A 17,143-nucleotide genomic window follows, 5' to 3' on the forward strand; every position below is an offset into this window, starting at 1 on the left:
AACAACTCTAACAAAGTTTTTACTGTCTCCTCAAAGGCTCAACATTGCCTTTCTCTACCACCTCAGCTTTCTCTCACAAGTCATGGAGCAAAAAGAAGCACTCAGGCAATGACTCCCAAATCTCCCACTGCCAAATCTATACACCTACTTGCATCTGTACCCATACTCTCCAGATTCCCTCCTTTTGAAATAAAAATACATATCTAATTTCTATTGCAGATCAAACTTCTTGTATTCTGGATGCCATGCCCTCTTGCCTTCTCAAGGACTTTTCTCCTGCAATCCCCCCACCCTGTTTTCTACATTAAATTTTCTCCTATTTTCCTGTATCATTTCCATACACATGCAACCATGCTCTAGAATCTCCTGTTGACATGGTTTGGCTGTGTCCCCACCCAAATCTCATCTTGAATTGTAATTCCCACGCGTTGTGGGAGGTACCTGTGGGAGGTAACTGAATCATGGGGGCAGATCTTTCCTGTGCTGCTCTCATGATAGTGAGTAAGTCTCACAGGATCTGATGGTTTTATAAAGGGGTGCTCCCCTACACAAACTCTCTGCCTGCCACCATGTAAGACACGACTTTGTTTCTTTTTGGCCTTCTGCTGTGATTGTGAGGCTTCTCCAGCCGTGTGGAAGTATGAGTCAATTAAACCTCTTTCCTTTATGAATTACCCAGTCTCGGTTATGTCTTTATTACAGGCATGAGAACATACTAATAAACTTATCTTTAAGAATTCCTTCCAAAACCTCATATCCCCTTAATAGCACAGCCCCGGTTTTATTCTCCTCTTTCTCAGAAAAACTTCTGAAGAGGGTAATTGCCCTGCTCTTTTTACTTTCATATCTCACATTAATTCTTCAATCTTCTTCAGACAGGATTCCATACCAGAGATCTACAGAAACTTCTCTAGTTGAGGTTACCAACCAATACTCATGATGTCACATCAAATGGACATTTGTGTGTCCTCACCTTACCCAAACTCTTGTCAGCAGCCTACAAAGCTGACCATTCAGCTTCTTCCTGCCGCTTTCTTCTTTTGTCTTGAGGAATATCACACTCTTGGTTTTCCCTCTGTCTGTTCAGTGGGTTCTGAACATTCTTTGATGGCTGGATCCTACTCCTCTGACATCTTAGTGTTGGCAAGATCTTGGACCCTCCTCCTTCTTTCTGTTTTGAGGTTGCAGACCGTTGGCTCATCAGTCACACTGGACTCACAGGTGGGTATTATTTGGCCTGCAGTTTTCAAAATAGGAAATCGTGTTAAAAAACAAAATCAAATAAAAGAAAAACGACAACAACAAAACCAAAACTGAACTTCCAATTTATCTTGGAGAATTAGCAGACCTAGTAAAATGAGTTCTGTATTCTCATATGGCAATAATTTTCTGGAGCTGAGTACCTGCTTCTTGGGTCATTTCTTAATCAACTCATTCTTTCCAAACATCTTATACCCAGCCTGTGTCATTCATTTAGGTGAGCTGACAAAGGCTAGTAGGAATATAAATTTATGACCCTTAGTTTATACTCTCCCCAGTGGATCTTATTTAAATACCCATTTAAATACCATATGCTTTAAAAAGTCTTCTTTCATAACATTGAGTGCACACAATATGCCCGGAACTACTGTACCAGACACTGGGGATACAGCGGTGAATGACGCAAGTCACTCTACTTCCAAAGAACTTACCTTCTATAGAGGGGAGACACACACAACAGTGATAACATAAAGCCAAATAATATTTGGGCTGGGCGCAGTGGCTCATGCCTGTAATCCCAGCACTTCGAGAGGCTGAGGCGAGCGGATCACGAGGTCAAGAGATTGAGACCAACCTGGCCAACATGGTGAAATCCTGTCTCTACTAAAAATACAAAAATTAGCTGGGTGTGGTGGCAGGTGCCTGTAATCCCAGCTACTTGGGAGGCTGAGGCAGGAGAATTGCTTGAACCTGGGAGGCGAAGGTTGCATTGAGCCGAGATTGTGCCACTGCACTCCAGCCTGGTGACAGAGCGAGACTCCATCTCAAAAAAAAAAAAAAGAAAAATATTCAAAAAAAAGCCAAATAATATTTTAAAAGTGGAAGGAGAGCAAGGGGATAGAAAAGGCTCTTTTAGATAGAGTTGTCAGTGAATGCCTCTATGAGGTGATACTTGAACCTCAATGAAATGAAAAAAAGAAGAGTTCCACAGGCAGAGGGAACGGTAAGTGCAAAATTCATGGAGTTTGTTCATCTTGTTTAAGAATGGCAAGACCAATGTGGCTGGAGCCCAATGAGTGAGATAAAGTAGTGCCTGAGTTTAGAGAGGGAGCAGGGGCCAATATAGGTAGGGCTTTGCAGACTCTGGTAAAGATTTTTTCATGTTTTTCAAGGAGTGATGGGAAGTCACTATAATGTTTTGAGCAAGGGAAGCAAAACAATCTGAATTATGTTTTAAAAGGATTAATGTAGGCCAGGCATGGTGGCTCACACCTCTAATCCGAGCACTTTGGGAGGCTGAGGCAGATGGATCAGTTGAGGACAAGAGTTTGAAACCAGCCTGCCCAACATGGTGAAACCCTGTATCTCCTAAAAATACAAAAATTACCTGGGCGTGGTGGCACAGACCTGTAATCCCAGCTACTCGGGAGGCTGAGGCAGAAGAATCGCTTGAACCCGAGAGGCAGAGGTTGCAGTGAGCTGAGATGGTGCCACTGCCCTCCAGCCTGGGCGACAGAGCAAGACTCTGTCTCAAAAAAAAAAAAAAAAAAATCTTTTCTTCTTCCCACAAAAAATAAAAAAGAAGAATCTTTTCTTCTTCCCATAAAATGATTAATGTAGCTATTGTGTGGACAATTGACTCCAGGAGGGCCAGAATAGAAATAGCTAGTCCCCTAAAAAGGTTACTCCTTAAGTTTAGATGGGAGATATTAATGAATAAAACTAGGGTGATATAGCTGGAGGAAGTGAAAAAAAAAAAAGGTCAGCTTGGGAATATATTTTCAGTCAAGGGCCTGAATTGGATATGGTGAAACCCTGTCTCTACTAAAAATACAAAAATTAGCCGGGTGTGGTGGCACATGCCTGTAATTCCAGCTACTTGGGAGGCTGAGGCAGAGGAAGGAGAATATATATATATATATGGACCCCCCCTTTCTCTATTACAGAGATAAGAAGACTATGTTAGCAGAGTATTTTTGTTTTTTTTTTTTTTGACATGGAGTTTCACTCTTGTTGCCCAGGCTGGAGTGCAATGGCGCGATCTCGGCTCACAGCAACCTCCGCCTCCCGGGTTCAAGCCATTCTCCTGCCTCAGCCTCCGGAGTAGCTGGGATTACAGGAATGCACCACCACACCAGGCTAATTTTTTGTACTTTTAGTAGAGATGGGGTTTCTCCATGTTGGTCAGGCTGGTCTTGAACTCCGGACCTCAGGTGATCCGCCCGCCTCGGCCTCCCAAAGTGCTGGGATTACAGGCATGAGCCACTGCGCCCAGCCGTTAGCAGAGTATTGAAATAATTTAGGTCACAGCATTTTGGGAACACTAATCCTGAGTGCTGGGAGTTCATATTAATAGAGATGAATAAAAACCTATCAGCTCGTATTGGTCAGATAGCTGGAGACAATGCAAGAAGCATTGCAGCTCACCAAAAATGTTTGACCTCCTTAGCCCAGGTAATACTAGATAACAGAATTGCCTTTGACTATGTATTGGCTGAAAAAGGAGGAGTCTGTGCAGTAGCACACATCACTTGTTGTATCTATGTTAATACCTCTAGAGAAGTGCAGACTCAATTTAAAAGAATAACTTGGTTGGGCGTGGTGGCTCACACCTGTAATCCTAGCACTTTGGGAGGCCAAGGTGAGCACATCACTTGAGGTCAGGAGTTTGAGACCAGCCTGGCCAACATGGTGAAACCCTATCTCTACTAAAACTACACAAATTAGCTGGGCATGGTGGTGGGCGCCGGTAATCCCAGCTGCTCAACAGGCTGAGGCAGGAGAATCACTTGAGCCTGGGAGGCGGAGGTTGTAGTGAGCCGAGATTGTACCACTGCACTCCAGCTTGGGCAACAGAGCAAGACTCCATCGAAAAAAAAAAAAAAAGCCAGGCACGGTGGTTGAAACCATGGGGCAGATGTTGCAGTGAGCCAAGATTGCGCTACTGCACTCCAGCCTGGGGGACAGAGTGAGACTCCATCTCAAAAATAAATAAATAAATAAAACTCAAAAGACTAATGGTTATAAGATGTTAGAAAATGGATTCTCTAGGCTGGCACAGTGGTTCACGCCGGTAATCCCAGCACTTTGGGAGGCCAAGGTAGGTGGATCACCTGAGGCCAGGAGTTCAAGACCAGTCTGGCCAAAGTGGCAAGACCCCATCTCTACTAAAAACGCAGAAATTAGCTGGTCGTGATGGCACACCCCTGTAGTCCCAGCTACTCAGGAGGCTGAGGCAGGAGAATCACTTGAACCCAGGAGGCGAAGGTTGCAGTGAGCCAAGATCATGCCACTGCACTCCCGCCTGGGTGACAGAGTAAGACTCTGTCTCAAAAAAAAAAAAAAAAAAAGAAAGAAAAGAAAAGAAAGAAAGAAAGAAAAGAAAATGGATTCTCTAAATGACTTGTTTAGTTGGTTACCCTCAGGGCTAAGTTCATTTTTTCGTTCTGGTCTTCAAGTAATTGTTATTATAATCATAAGTACAGTTTCCATTTTCCTAGTTATCAAATTACTCATGATTCGTGTTTCAGCTTGCTTGTGATCAATGACTAAAACTAGAATAATAATTGCTTAAAAAGTTGCCTTAATTGAAAATAAGTCACACAACCAGAATCAGACCACTAAGTTATACTTTCCTTCTGTTGTTCATAATTAGGCTTTGGCTTCTTTCGGCTTATGAATTAAACATTTCCCCTCTCTGTGGGGCATGACTCTCTAGGAATGAGACTTCCTAGTGATGTGAGATATAACTACTCTCTAACAAATGCTTCTTCCGTAATGCTTTCTTCAAAGATCTTGAAGAAAAGGGGAAAATGTGAAAGAAAAGGAATAGTCTGTCTATTTGGGGCTTCTAAAAGCTTAGGTTTTGTGGAAGATTGACTTTGGAGACCAAGTCACAGAGCATGACCTCTTAATCTTGACTTTTTATTATAGATTAATTTCCTTTCTTATTTTCTTGTACCTGACTCAGATGGTACCTGAGATACAAGACTCCTTGACTGAGTCTATATAAGTCTCCTTGACTGATTCTTGACTGAGATATAAGACTCCTTAGGCCGGGCGCGTGGCTCATGCCTGTAATGTTGGTCAGGCTGGTCTCGAGCTCCTGACCTCAAGTGATCCACCCACCTTGGCCTTGCAAAGGTCTGGGATTATAGGCATGAGCCACCAAGCTCCGCCTTTAGCTTTACTTTTTGATGTTAACATGTGAACTAGTTAGTATAAATTAGAAAAAAAACAACAGGATCATAAGCTTGAATATTCCATTCAAATTGTCTGGTAAAATGAGTAGGGTCCAGGTGAGAGTCAGGGAATTCTTTAACTATGCCTTTAGATTTCACCTTGGTTCATAAACCAAGGTAGGTTCTCCCCTACCAGACACCAGCTACTCACAAAATGGAGCCAGAACAATGGGAGTAGAAGTGGGAGGAGGAAGAAAAAGTAGTTGAGATAATGAAGGATAAAGAGAAGGAGGAGTTGAGGAGGAGAAATTTCAGCAGCTTTTTTATTTCAGAAATTGTTTCAGAGAATCTTTTGTTTTCTTTCTGTAAAGAAAGAACTTTATCAAAACCTCTTTTGGAAGCCTCTAAATGCCATTGAAAATAACTTTTCCAATTGCTCTGTTTTATTTTAGAGCCAGCTTATTCTAATTGAGCATATAAGTAAACTAGATTAGGCATTTCAAAGGCACACCATTTTGGCCATTATAATTTGGAGTCATTGTGAGTTATTCACGAGCAGTTTTCTAAATACTTACCTGAAAAGGCATCATGTCATATGTGTTAACTATAAATCCAGCTGGAGTTTCTAATAGTGGGTCTCTCTTAAGGAGGAAGGTTCAGTTTTAGATGCACAGTTGCCCATAGTGCATCAAAAGACTTAGGGAAAGTTGTTTTGAGATCAAGAAAGTTGTTTTGAGATCCCTAAGACCAAAAGACTTAGTGAAAGTTGTTTTGAGATCGAGTGTGCTGCTTGCGAAAATAGCTCCTCAAGGTGTCACTCTTGAGTCAGTTCTTCTCACATACAAATCTCAATGATACCAACAAACTTGGATGCTTAAGATACAGGGTAATCAATCCTTTATGTGTGCTCACCAGATTAAGCAAGGTTTCCTTTAAATTCTACTTAAGGGATTTCCTGTGAGACTGTTACTTATCAGGAGTGATTAACTCAGATACTCACACTAGACCTTAGTTGCTTAAGGTGACTTTTAGCTGGGAGAAACAGTGTCTATTATCTTCAGGACTTATTTCATCCTTATACAGAGTATTTCATAATTTTGGTCACTCAAGAAGCAAGCTTGAATTTGTCAATTGAACCAAGCCTCAGAACCTGGCTAGCTTTAAATATTATAACATTTTTGCTTAAACCACAAAGATTTACTTCCTCTTTTTAAAAATAAACTGTTTTTCACCTTATCAACATTTTGAATGAGAGAAAAAGTTGTAAAAACTCTAAGGAGTAATTCAAAACAAAAACCTTAACCTCACAGAAAAGTGAAAGTCACAATTTTTTTTTTTTTTGAGACATAGTCTTGCTCTGTCACCCAGGCTGGAATACAGTAGTGTGATCTCGGCTCACTGCAACCTCTGCCTCTTGGGTTTAAGTGATTCTCCTGCTTCAGCCTCCTGAGTAGCTGGCACTACAGGCATGTGCCACCACGCCCAGTTAATTTTTGTGTTTTTAGTAGAAACGGGGTTTCACCATGTTGGCCAGGCTGGTCTCGAACTCCCAACCTCAAGTGATCCACCCACCTCGGCCTCCCAAAGTGCTGAGATTACAGGTGTGAGCCACTGCACCCGACTGAAAGTCACAAATCTATGATCAGCAGAATCTCTACAGAATAACAAATGAAACTCCTATCTTGCAGCAGAGCTTTAATTCTTACTTCCTCCAGTTAGAAGTGTATAGCTGGAATAAAGTCTGAATCCTCATCAAAGCCAAGAGGACTACAACCTGAGAGGAGCCTTACCAGGGATCCCCATTAGTTCTTTTGAGGGTGGATGAACAAAAGTTGTTCATGCTGGTACCAAGATTTTGGCTGTTAGTGAAATGACAGGAATCACTGGAATGAAGGTTTGCCTTAGGTCCCTTCATGGTCGCCAAAATGTCAACCTTAATAATGAAATTCAGGCAACAGTATTAAATATTGAGTTTATTCGAGTGTAAATTTGAGGGTGGCCATCTGAGAGGATATAGACTCCAAAAAGATGGGGTCAGTGCTCTGAAATGGAGAGGTTTGAGGGTGCTTAAATAGGTAAAGTCTGGGGAAGCTTACCAGGATTTCAACATTTTGCATACAAGATTAATGCATAGATACAGCAATTTGATTGATTATATGCAGTGTTTCTTTTGGGGGAAGGGTATATTTCACATTTCACATTAAGGATGTAATAGTCAAGGGGTCTTTTTTTCTTGTTTGAGCCAAGTAAAAGAAAATAGGAAGGAAGTTAATCTATAACAAAAGGCCGCCACGCACAGTGGCTCACGCTTGTAATCCCAGGGCTTTGAAAGGCTGAGATGGACAGATCATTTGAGTCCAGGAGTTTGAGACCAGCAACCCCATCTCTATAAAAAATGCAAAAATTAGCTTGGTGTGGTGGCATGTGCCTGTAGTTCCAGCTACTTGAGGGGCTGAGGCAGAAGGATCTCTTGAACCAAGAAGTTGAGGTTGCAGTGAGCTGAGATCACTGCACTCCAGACTGGGTGACAAAGTAAGACCTTGTGTCAAAAAAAACAAAAACAAAAAAACAAAAATGCCAGTAAACAAGAGGTCATGCTTTGTGACTCAGTCTCCAAAGTCAACCTTGCTTAGGGCCTAACAACTTTTAGAAGCTCAAAATAGACTATTTTCTTTCACAATTTTAAATTAAAATTAAGTAAATAATGCTAGAATTGTAAATTTCATTTAAAAAACAATTCAGTCTTATTAAATATTTTTGTACAAATAGTTATTCCCAATGCTAATATTCATTGTCTATTTATGATTATGTAAATGTTCAGTCTTACTCTCTACTCATGTTACATCTAGACAGATACATGTATATATCAGTGTATACGCATATGTGTGTATGGAGACAATTAAAAAAAGGAACATCTGCCACTACCAAGAAACAATACATGGTTATGCAAGAAAATGCATTTATGCTATCTAAGAGGAAGAGTATGACAAGCTAATTTGTGTTTTCTCTTACCCAAGTGCTTCTGTAGCTCGAACACACTCTACGTAGCATTTCAAAAACAGTGTGCCTATTTCTCTTAAGTAGCACAACCCAAAACCTTCAAGACATTAGGATGCAGTTGTCTTTCATTTTTTTAATGGTGGTAAAATATGCATAAGGTAAAGCTTATCATTTTATCCATTTTTAAGTGTATAGTTCAGTGGCATTAAGTACATTCACATTGTTGTGCAAGCATCACCACCCTCCATCACCGTAACTTTTTCATCTTCCCAAACTGAAATTCTACATCCATTAAACAATAACTCTGCTGGCCTCTCTCTCCCCCAGCCCCTGGCAACCACCATTATTCTTTCTTACTCTATGAATTTGACTACTCTATATACCTCATATAAGTGGACTCATACAACATTTGTCTTTTTATGATGCTTGTTTCACTTAGCATAATCAACATTTATCCATGTTGTAGCACGTGTCAGAATTTCCTCCCTCCCCCTGTTTTTTCAGGAATGAATTTCTTTCCTTTTTAAGGTTGAATAACATTCCATTGCATGTCTATACCACATTCATTTATTTATTCATTCATTCATGGACATTTGGGTCATTTTTATCGTTTGGTTATTATGAATAACAGTGTTGTGAACACAAATGTACAAATATTTGTTCATGTCTCTGGTTTCAATTCTTTTGGTGCCTTTCAGCTTTGAGTATATGGAGCAAGAGACGTGATAAAGAGGTTCCCTAAAGCCTGAATAGTAGTGGTAAAGAAAGCAAATATTTATCCGGGTGTGGTGATGCACACCTGCAATCCCAGATACTCAGGAGACTGAGGCAGAAGAATCTCTTGAACCCAGGAGGCAGAAATTCTAGTGAGTTGAGATCACCCCACTGCACTCCAGTCTAGTGACAAAGGGGAAACTCCGTCAAAAAAAAAAAAAAAGAAGAAGAAGAAGAAAGAAGGAAAGAAAGAAAGAAACAAAGAAACAAAGGAAGAAAGAAAAGAATAGAAATGGAAAAAAGCTAGGCTTGTTGTTGCATTTCTGTAGTCTCAGCTACTCAAGAGACTGACGTGAGAGGCTTGCTTGAGTCCAGGAAGGCCAAGGCTGCAGTGAGCTGTGATCATACCACTGCATTTCAGCATGGGTGACAGAGTGAGACCCTGCCTCAAGAAAGCAAATATTTAAGATTGTACTTGTGCTGAGTGCTGGATTTCAAATGATAGGGGTGCCCATGTGTTCTTTAATATAGTTACTGTGTGTGTGTGTGTGTGTGTGCATGTGTGTGTGTGTAAGAAAGAGAGAGAGAGGTTTGTGTAGTCCTCTAAAGTGTGGGACCCAGGGCAGGGCCCTTGTTGCCTGGACTTAGGGTGGTATTGTCATAAGCACATACATGTATTAGAACTGGGTGAGTGTAGCAGTGAGTGTAGATAGAAAAGAAGTTGACAGACTATGCCTGGGACACTTAGAAATCACAAAGAAAAGAGAGAATAAAAGAAAAGAAATCAAGAAAAAAAACACCAGGAGAATGTGCAGACTTGGAATCCAAGTGAAATTAAATGTTGGGGAATTATCGACAATGCCAAATACTGCTAAGAGATTGACTAAACAAGGACTGATAATTCACCTTTGGACACACACAAAAGTAGAACTCACTGGTGGTGTTAAAATGAGCTGTTTCATTGACTGGTGGGGATAAAACCTGACTGAGAAGAGTTCAAGTAAGAATGAGAAGAGGGTAAGTAGAAACAGAAGGTCTGGCCAGCTCTTTAGAGAAGTTTTTCTATAAAAGGAAGCAAAGAAGTGGGATGGAAGCTAGATGAAGATGTGGTGGAGTCACTAGAGATTTATTTTTCTTTTTGCCTAACAGAGGTGGAACAGCTGATGGCCCCACATCTTCAGCTGAAGCTCCACAGTCACACATACAAGTGCCTATCTGGCATCTCCATTTAAATGTCTCATAGGAACTCACAGGAAAATCAAACTTAACCTGTTCCAAATAGAACTCTTGATTCTCCCTCACTCTATCCCCAGTCTGTTCTTTCCTAAGCCTTCCTTTTCTCAATAAACATCATTGCCCACCATTCAAACCAAAAGCCATGTAGCCATTCCAGATTATTTCAATTTCCTCAAAAACAGTGCATCAGCCTGTTAGTTCTACTTCCAAAATACATCTCTAACTTGATCATCTGGAGTACTACAATAGGTTCCCTGCTTTCATTCTCGCCTCTCACCACCTATTCTCACATGGCAGCAAGAGTGTAAACCAGACAAAGTTACACCTCCACTTAAAGCTTTGATTACTCAGTAAAACAATGATTACTCAGTACACTTCAAATCCCCACTGCTTACCTTGAGCTATACTGTCCTACATGACCTGGCTCTTTGCTCCTTCTCCAATCTCATCTTCACTTCTTTCTCTCTCTTGCACCATACTCCAGACATGCTGGCCTAAACCTAATTATTTGTATTACAAAGATATAAAAAAATAGAGAATAATATTTATATATATATACATATATATACTTTTTTTGAGACAGAGTCTTGCTCTGTCGCCCAGGCTGGAGTGCAGTGGCGCAATCTCGGCTCACTGCAACCTCTGCCTCCCTTCACGCCATTCTCCTTCCTCAGCCTCCTGAGTAGCTGGGACTACAGGCGCCCGCCACCACGCCCGACTAATTTTTTGTATTTTTTTAGTAGAGACGGGGTTTCACCGTGTTAGTCAGGATGGTCTCGATCTCCTGACCTCGTGATCTGCCTGCCTCGGCCTCCCAAAGTGCTGGGATTACAGGAGTGAGCTACCGAGCCCAGCCAATAGGGAATAATATTATAGATATTATATAATAATATATAATAATATTATAGATTATAGAGCCAGATCTAATACTTTAATTAATACTTAGCTACATGTACCATTAAAATGTAAACTACATGTCTTTTCTGAATCTCTATTACCTGAAAAAGTGCCTAACACATAATATATGCTCAATGCATCTGGTATAATTGAATATTTGCTTCACATTAAAAAATAAGTAAAACATTACAGATACAGTGAATGCTCCTTATACCTCCTTCCCTTCCTCTTTCCCCAGAAGAACTACCTACCATTCTAAAGGTGATATATGCCATGCCTATAATATCCCTAGTTTTAATATTTTGTTACTTGAGCATTTGTTTTCTATGTTTTCAAAATTTACAGTATAGAATAATACGTTAAATATCCCTTGCGATTTGTTTTTTTATCATGCTTTATGCCTATTATGTTGATATATGCAGTTTTCATATGTTTTTTGGCTGTATATTTCAGTGTGTGAACATACCATAATTTGTTTATCTATTTCTTACTGTTGAACATTTAGGTTGTTTCAAATATTTTGTTATTCCCAATAGTGCTGCAATGAATATGAGCAACATGACAGTTAAGAGGGTGGATTCTAGAGCCAGACTACCCAGGATTGAATTTCAGGCACCATCACTAGTTGTGTCACTTTGGGCACGTTACTTCTTTGTGCTCTAGTTTATTTAATTGTAAAATGATGGCAATAAATTTTCATGATATTGTTAGTAGAATTAAATGAGTTAATACATATAAAGAACTTCGAAAAGTGCCTGGAACATATTAAATCTCAATGAATATTGACCGTTATTATTATTACCCTTATTATTAGGAATTGCTTAATTACAGGACATGTACATCTTCTATTTCATTAAATATTACACATTATTCTCCTAAGTGATATGTCAATTTATGCTTCCAGCAGGGGTATATAAGTTCCATTTTCCTATTTCCTATACTAATTAAAAATTCCTGTCAATCTAATGGATATGAAATTGTTGTTTTACTTGTACTTTGATAGTTACAGCAAAATTATATATTTTTTCTTGGGTTTATTGGCCATTCAGTTTTCTTTTTTGGTGAACTGCCTTTTTACCTACTTTTCTTTCTCTCTCTCTTTTTTTTTTTTTTTTTAGTGTCCCTCAGGCTAGAATGCAGTGATGCCACCTTGGGTCACTGCACCACAGCTTTGATTTCCAGAGCTCAAGCGATCCTCCCACCTCAGCCTCCTAAGTAGCTGGGACTAGAGGCGCATGCCACCACGCCTGGCTAATTTTGTTTTCATTTTTTGTAGACACAAGATCTCATTATGTTGCCCAGGCTGGTCTCGAACTCCTGAACTCAAGCAATCCTCCGGCCTTGGGCTCCCAAGTACTGAGATTACAGGCATGAGCCAAAACGTCCAGCTTTTTAATTTACTTTTCTATTGGGTTGTTTGCCTTTTTCGATTTTGGGAACTATTTGTTTGTTTGTTTGTTTGTTTTTTGAGACGGAGTCTTGCTCTGTCACCCAGGCTGGAATGCAGTGGCGCGATCTCGGCTCACTGCAACCCCTGCCTCTCAGGTTCACGCCATTCTCCTGCCTCAGCCTCCCGAGTAGCTGGGACTACAGGCGCCCGCCACCACGCCCGGCTAATTTTTTGTATTTTTAGTAGAGACAGGGTTTCACCGTGTTAGCCAGGATAGTCCTGATCTCCTGACCTCGTGATCTGCCCGCCTCGGCCTCCCAAAGTGCTGGGATTACAGGCGTGAGCCACCTCGCCCAGCCCGGGAACTGTTTTGGATACTAATCAAAACAATGGTTATGGCTGGGCGCGGTGGCTCACGCCTGTAATCCCAGCACTTTGGAAGGCCAAGGCGGGCGGATCACTTGAGGCCAGGAGTTCGAGATCAGCCTGGCCAACACAGTGAAACCCCGCCTCTACTAAAAATACAAACATTAGCCAGGCATGGTGGCGGACGCTTATAGTGCCAGCTACTTTGGGAGGCTGAAGCACGAGAATCACTTAAACCTGAGAGGCAGAGGTTGCAGTGAGCCTAGATCGTGCCACTGCACTCCAGGCTGGGTGACAGAGTGAGACCCTGTCTCAAAAAACAACAACAATAAACAATGGTTATATATATGGGGAATATCATTTAGTCTGTGGCTTGTCTTTGTGTGCTTTTTCAACTTGTTATACGGAAGTAACACATTTTAATACAGTCAAATCTAAATATTTTCCCTTATGGTTTGTGCTTTTCCGGTCTTATTAAGAAATTCTTAGCCGGGCGCGGTGGCTCACGCCTCTAATCCCAGCACTTTGGGAGGCTGAGGCGGGCGGATCACCTGAGGTCAGGAGTTCGAGACCAGCCTGACCAACATGGAGAAACCCCATCTCTACTAAAAATACAAAATTAGCCAGGTATGGTGGCGCATGCATGTAATCCCAGCTGCTCCGGAAGCTGAGGCAGGAGAATGTTTGAACCAAGGAGGCGGAGGTTGCGGTGAGCTGAGATAGCACTGTTGCACTCCAGCCTGGGCAACAAGGGTGAGACTCCGTCTAAAAAAAAAAAAAAAAATTCTTCCCTATTTTTGACATTATAAAGCTATTTTTATTTTCTGAAAAATGTTTGCAGGTCTTTAATCCATCTCGGCCTTATTTTTGGAAATGGTTTGAGGTAGAAATCTAATCATTTATTTCCCTTTTGGAAAAAATGTCTCATCGCCATTTATTGAAGAGTCTGTCCTTTCGCCCACTGACTTGTAATGCCGTCTGTATCATAAACCAAGTTCCCTTGATGTTACTCTTCATTTCGGCCTCACAATCTTTGCTTATTTTCCTTCTACCAGGGATGCTTTTCGCTATGTTCCTTTCAGGGCTACCTTCCTCTTGTCCCTTCAGATCGCAGTTCAAATGTCATCCCCCTCAAATCTAGATTGCTCTACAGGCATTTCTGGCTCCGTGATCCCATGACCTCAAAGGGGTCTAGGTGGGCATAGCCTCTAGCCAGTTGTTGCTAGGCTGTTGTCAGGACTGGCGATGCGTAGGCCACTGAGAGCACCCGGAGTCCGAGTGACGGAATCAGGCGGGCGCCCGCGTCGCTAAGGAGTGCGTCACAGTGCGCGGGCGGCCGGGGGCAGGGCCAGGGCTGAGTCACGTGGCTTGGTTGCCTACGCGCTGGTGGGCCGTGGGAAGATGGCGGACGGAAAGGGAGACGCCGCCGCTGTCGCCGGGGCTGGGGCTGAGGCTCCGGCGGTAGCGGGAGCCGGAGATGGAGTCGAGACTGAGTCCATGGTTCGGGGTCATCGCCCCGTATCTCCAGCGCCGGGAGCCTCGGGACTGCGGCCGTGTCTGTGGCAGCTGGAGACAGAGCTGAGGGAGCAAGAGGTGTCGGAGGTCTCATCTTTGAACTACTGCCGGAGCTTCTGCCAGGTGAGGGGCTGACTGGCTGGCTGAGGGCGGCGGGGCGGGGAAGTCAGGGAAGGAGGCCCTGGATCCTCTGTAAGCAGCCGGGTCCAAACTGAAAGGCGCCACCTCCGTGACTCGCCGCGCCCCCGGGCCGGGAAGGCCCAGCTCGGAAGCTCGACCGCTGGCCCCCCTGCGCCACTGCCCGACTTTGGCCACCGCTGGGTCGTTTTGCTCTGAGCCTTACTGAGATCCCGGAGGGCCCTGGCGGGTCCCTGGAAGGGCTGTGCCCTGTCGCCGTTGCCTGTGTCCTGGCCGGGTGGTTGGAGCGCCACTGCCCCCTGAGGGATTGATTGCTTGTCCCTGCCGGGAGATCCTTTTTTGAGTGGAGTGCAGATCTCCGAACTGGTAAACCCGGGTTTTTCTGAATAATCCAGAGAGGTGTGTTGGGGCCAGAGACTTATTTTTGGAGTTAACATCTTCTGGGCTCCTAAAAGGTATGACAGTTGGCTTCGAAAGGCGTCTAGAGCTTTCTGATTAGGGATTGCGGAGCCGGTTGGTTGTTTGGTTTTTGCTTTTTTTTTTTTTACGTTTAAGCCGTTCTTTCGTCTTTTCTGTATTTCTTTGAGAGGATTGTGCTACCGAGAATAAGGCTGACTCTTTGAGTAGAAGAGGATGGGAAGAGGGATGTAGAGTGTGGCCTCTTTTGGCAGTCGTATGATCATTTCTGTGCCTTGGTGGGTCCTAACCTATGATTACATATTTATGGGTGTGTTTAGTTTAGTCTCCATGACCACTCCGAGATTTTTCTGTATGTTTTCAAGTCTTTTACAAATACAAATATTGGCCATTATTATTTCTGCTTCCAATGTTTGTTCTGTCAGGTTTCAGAGGCACCCATCAGCTCCTTATCTGTTGTACCTTAGAAAATGCAAAATAATCGTGGCATGTTGGTACTTGGAGTCTAATAAGTAGTCCAGTATGCTGAATAAATTGCGGCGTTCTAAAATAATAATTTTGGGGGGCAATTTGCTCTGTTGGTCCGGAGTAGAATAAAAGTTAGCTTGCTTGATTGCTTTTCTTCCCTCTCTCTGCCGAGGCAGAAGCACCTCATCTCTCTGAATGGAATTTTGTCCTTACTAATCTTTTCCGTGGATTGTACCACTCCAATTTTTGTGTGTACAACCTGCAACATTGCCCTGTACTATTAAATGTTAACGTGTTGTTGTTCTCTGCTTCCTTAGTAGTAGTCATCCCTGTTTAGTAAGCTCATTTATTTTACAGATTTTTACTGACTTCATAGGATAGTGCCAGGGACTTTACCAAGTGCTGGGGAAACATGAGTAAGACAGCACTTAGCCTTGATGAACTTACAGTTGGTGGGAGGTGGTAGGAATGACAGTATTTCCAGTGCGGTTTTGGTAATGATGGAAAAGGAGGTGTTGTAGAGACAATGGTGAGGAGAGAGCCTTCATGGGATATCCTGATGGGAAAGACAATTAACTAGAAAAATAAGTAAAAAGGTTAATTATAAATTGTAGTATGTGCTTAGAAAGAAGTAACTGGGAGAGGCCACTTTAGTTAGTAAGACCCTATGGGCTGCAAGGATGAAAATGAGTCACGTGAAGGTCTGGGGTGGGGAAAGCATCCCAGTGCCAAAGGTAGAGATTGGTAAGGACCCAGAATGCTATGGGAGGAGGGGAAACTAATGGAAGGAGAGGGGTGGTGCAGGAAAACAACTGTGGGTTTTGGGTAAGGCTTCTAAGCTTGAGTTGTCTCCCTGGAAAGATGACAAGAATGAATGTAACCAGTCACATTGAAGCTTGTCAAAGGATCACATATATATGTATTCTGCTTTATGTCTAGTGCTTGCAACTGCAGTTTTGTTTAAGGTAATGTTTTAATGTCTTGAGTCTTGGTGACACCAGAGATGTGATGGCCCAGAAGAATTTTTAAAAGAAAGCATGTGTAATTTGTCTTTTCTATGAAGTTTTTTTTAACCTAAAATTTTCCCAAAAAATGTTTTTTAGACTAATAAATGAAACAAGAACAAGTATTCCTGTAACACTGTATTGTAATAGAAAGCACATGGGATTGGGAGTTAAGTTGGGTCTTGACTGTGACTTTACCACTGCTTAGCTAATAACCTTGGGTAACCATGTCTGCAAAACTATCTTATTTTCTGACCTTTATCTCCTTATAATGCTTTATACAATCAGAATAGAAAATTTGTGTACAAGTCTTCACAAAATTTATCATATTTTTGACACATTTTCCCCTGTAGTCCAGATAAGATCAACTGTGTCCTTGATGACCAGATAGAGAAAAAGTAAAAATTGTATGAAGAAGCAGGAAAATTTTCACCATCAGTAAATTTTGTTGAATAGCTCTTGGTTTCACATTTGAAAAGAAGAATAAGATATATTCATTTACTTAAGGAACACTGATTGTGTGACAGTTCTGAAGGTGGGAGCCTAGTTAAGACAGTTTTCTCGGACTCTAGGAGAGGAGCACATAATATATAAAGATAGATTGTAGGCATTTTTAC

At 42.0% G+C, this 17,143-nt stretch overlaps 1 protein-coding gene and 1 long non-coding RNA gene across 2 annotated transcripts in view, besides 6 other annotated features; one reads left to right on the forward strand and one right to left on the reverse strand.

Moving 5' to 3' along the window:
* Positions 1 to 686: 686 nt before the first annotated feature.
* LOC105378671 (uncharacterized) lies at positions 687 to 14,264 on the reverse strand. Its single transcript, XR_947232.3, has 3 exons — positions 13,951 to 14,264; positions 10,727 to 10,831; positions 687 to 1,237 (listed from the first exon to the last, which is right to left on the reverse strand). It is a non-coding gene; the product is annotated as an uncharacterized LOC105378671 (long non-coding RNA).
* Positions 6,441 to 6,500: an enhancer, noted in NCBI's record as "active region_831". NCBI's record gives its function as "activates an Ori minimal core promoter by ATAC-STARR-seq in GM12878 lymphoblastoid cells {active_cell/tissue: GM12878}" and the evidence as "EXISTENCE:reporter gene assay evidence [ECO:0000049][PMID:35858748]".
* Positions 6,701 to 6,840: a silencer, noted in NCBI's record as "silent region_721". NCBI's record gives its function as "represses an Ori minimal core promoter by ATAC-STARR-seq in GM12878 lymphoblastoid cells {active_cell/tissue: GM12878}" and the evidence as "EXISTENCE:reporter gene assay evidence [ECO:0000049][PMID:35858748]".
* Positions 12,835 to 13,036: a silencer, noted in NCBI's record as "fragment chr1:40625521-40625722 (GRCh37/hg19 assembly coordinates)". NCBI's record gives its function as "represses an EF-1alpha promoter that drives an FKBP-Casp9 reporter gene in an ReSE screen in K562 erythroleukemia cells {active_cell/tissue: K562}" and the evidence as "EXISTENCE:reporter gene assay evidence [ECO:0000049][PMID:32094911]".
* Positions 14,045 to 14,661: an enhancer, noted in NCBI's record as "OCT4-NANOG-H3K27ac-H3K4me1 hESC enhancer chr1:40626731-40627347 (GRCh37/hg19 assembly coordinates)". NCBI's record gives its function as "activates a minimal SCP1, AML or CMV promoter by ChIP-STARR-seq in primed H9 embryonic stem cells {active_cell/tissue: H9 hESC(primed)}" and the evidence as "EXISTENCE:reporter gene assay evidence [ECO:0000049][PMID:30033119]".
* Positions 14,149 to 14,658: an enhancer, noted in NCBI's record as "active region_832". NCBI's record gives its function as "activates an Ori minimal core promoter by ATAC-STARR-seq in GM12878 lymphoblastoid cells {active_cell/tissue: GM12878}" and the evidence as "EXISTENCE:reporter gene assay evidence [ECO:0000049][PMID:35858748]".
* The window catches only part of RLF (RLF zinc finger), a 79,535-nt gene continuing 76,764 nt past the window's right edge, over positions 14,373 to 17,143 (forward strand). Inside the window, exon 1 of the mRNA NM_012421.4 lies at positions 14,373 to 14,622. Coding sequence (NP_036553.2) covers positions 14,386 to 14,622 — 237 coding nt within the window. The 5' untranslated portion in view covers positions 14,373 to 14,385. The remainder of the gene's footprint in view (positions 14,623 to 17,143) is intronic.
* Positions 14,662 to 15,277: an enhancer, noted in NCBI's record as "NANOG-H3K27ac-H3K4me1 hESC enhancer chr1:40627348-40627963 (GRCh37/hg19 assembly coordinates)". NCBI's record gives its function as "activates a minimal SCP1, AML or CMV promoter by ChIP-STARR-seq in primed H9 embryonic stem cells {active_cell/tissue: H9 hESC(primed)}" and the evidence as "EXISTENCE:reporter gene assay evidence [ECO:0000049][PMID:30033119]".

Source organism: Homo sapiens, chromosome 1 (assembly GCF_000001405.40).
Source record: "Homo sapiens chromosome 1, GRCh38.p14 Primary Assembly".
NCBI lineage: Eukaryota > Metazoa > Chordata > Mammalia > Primates > Hominidae > Homo > Homo sapiens.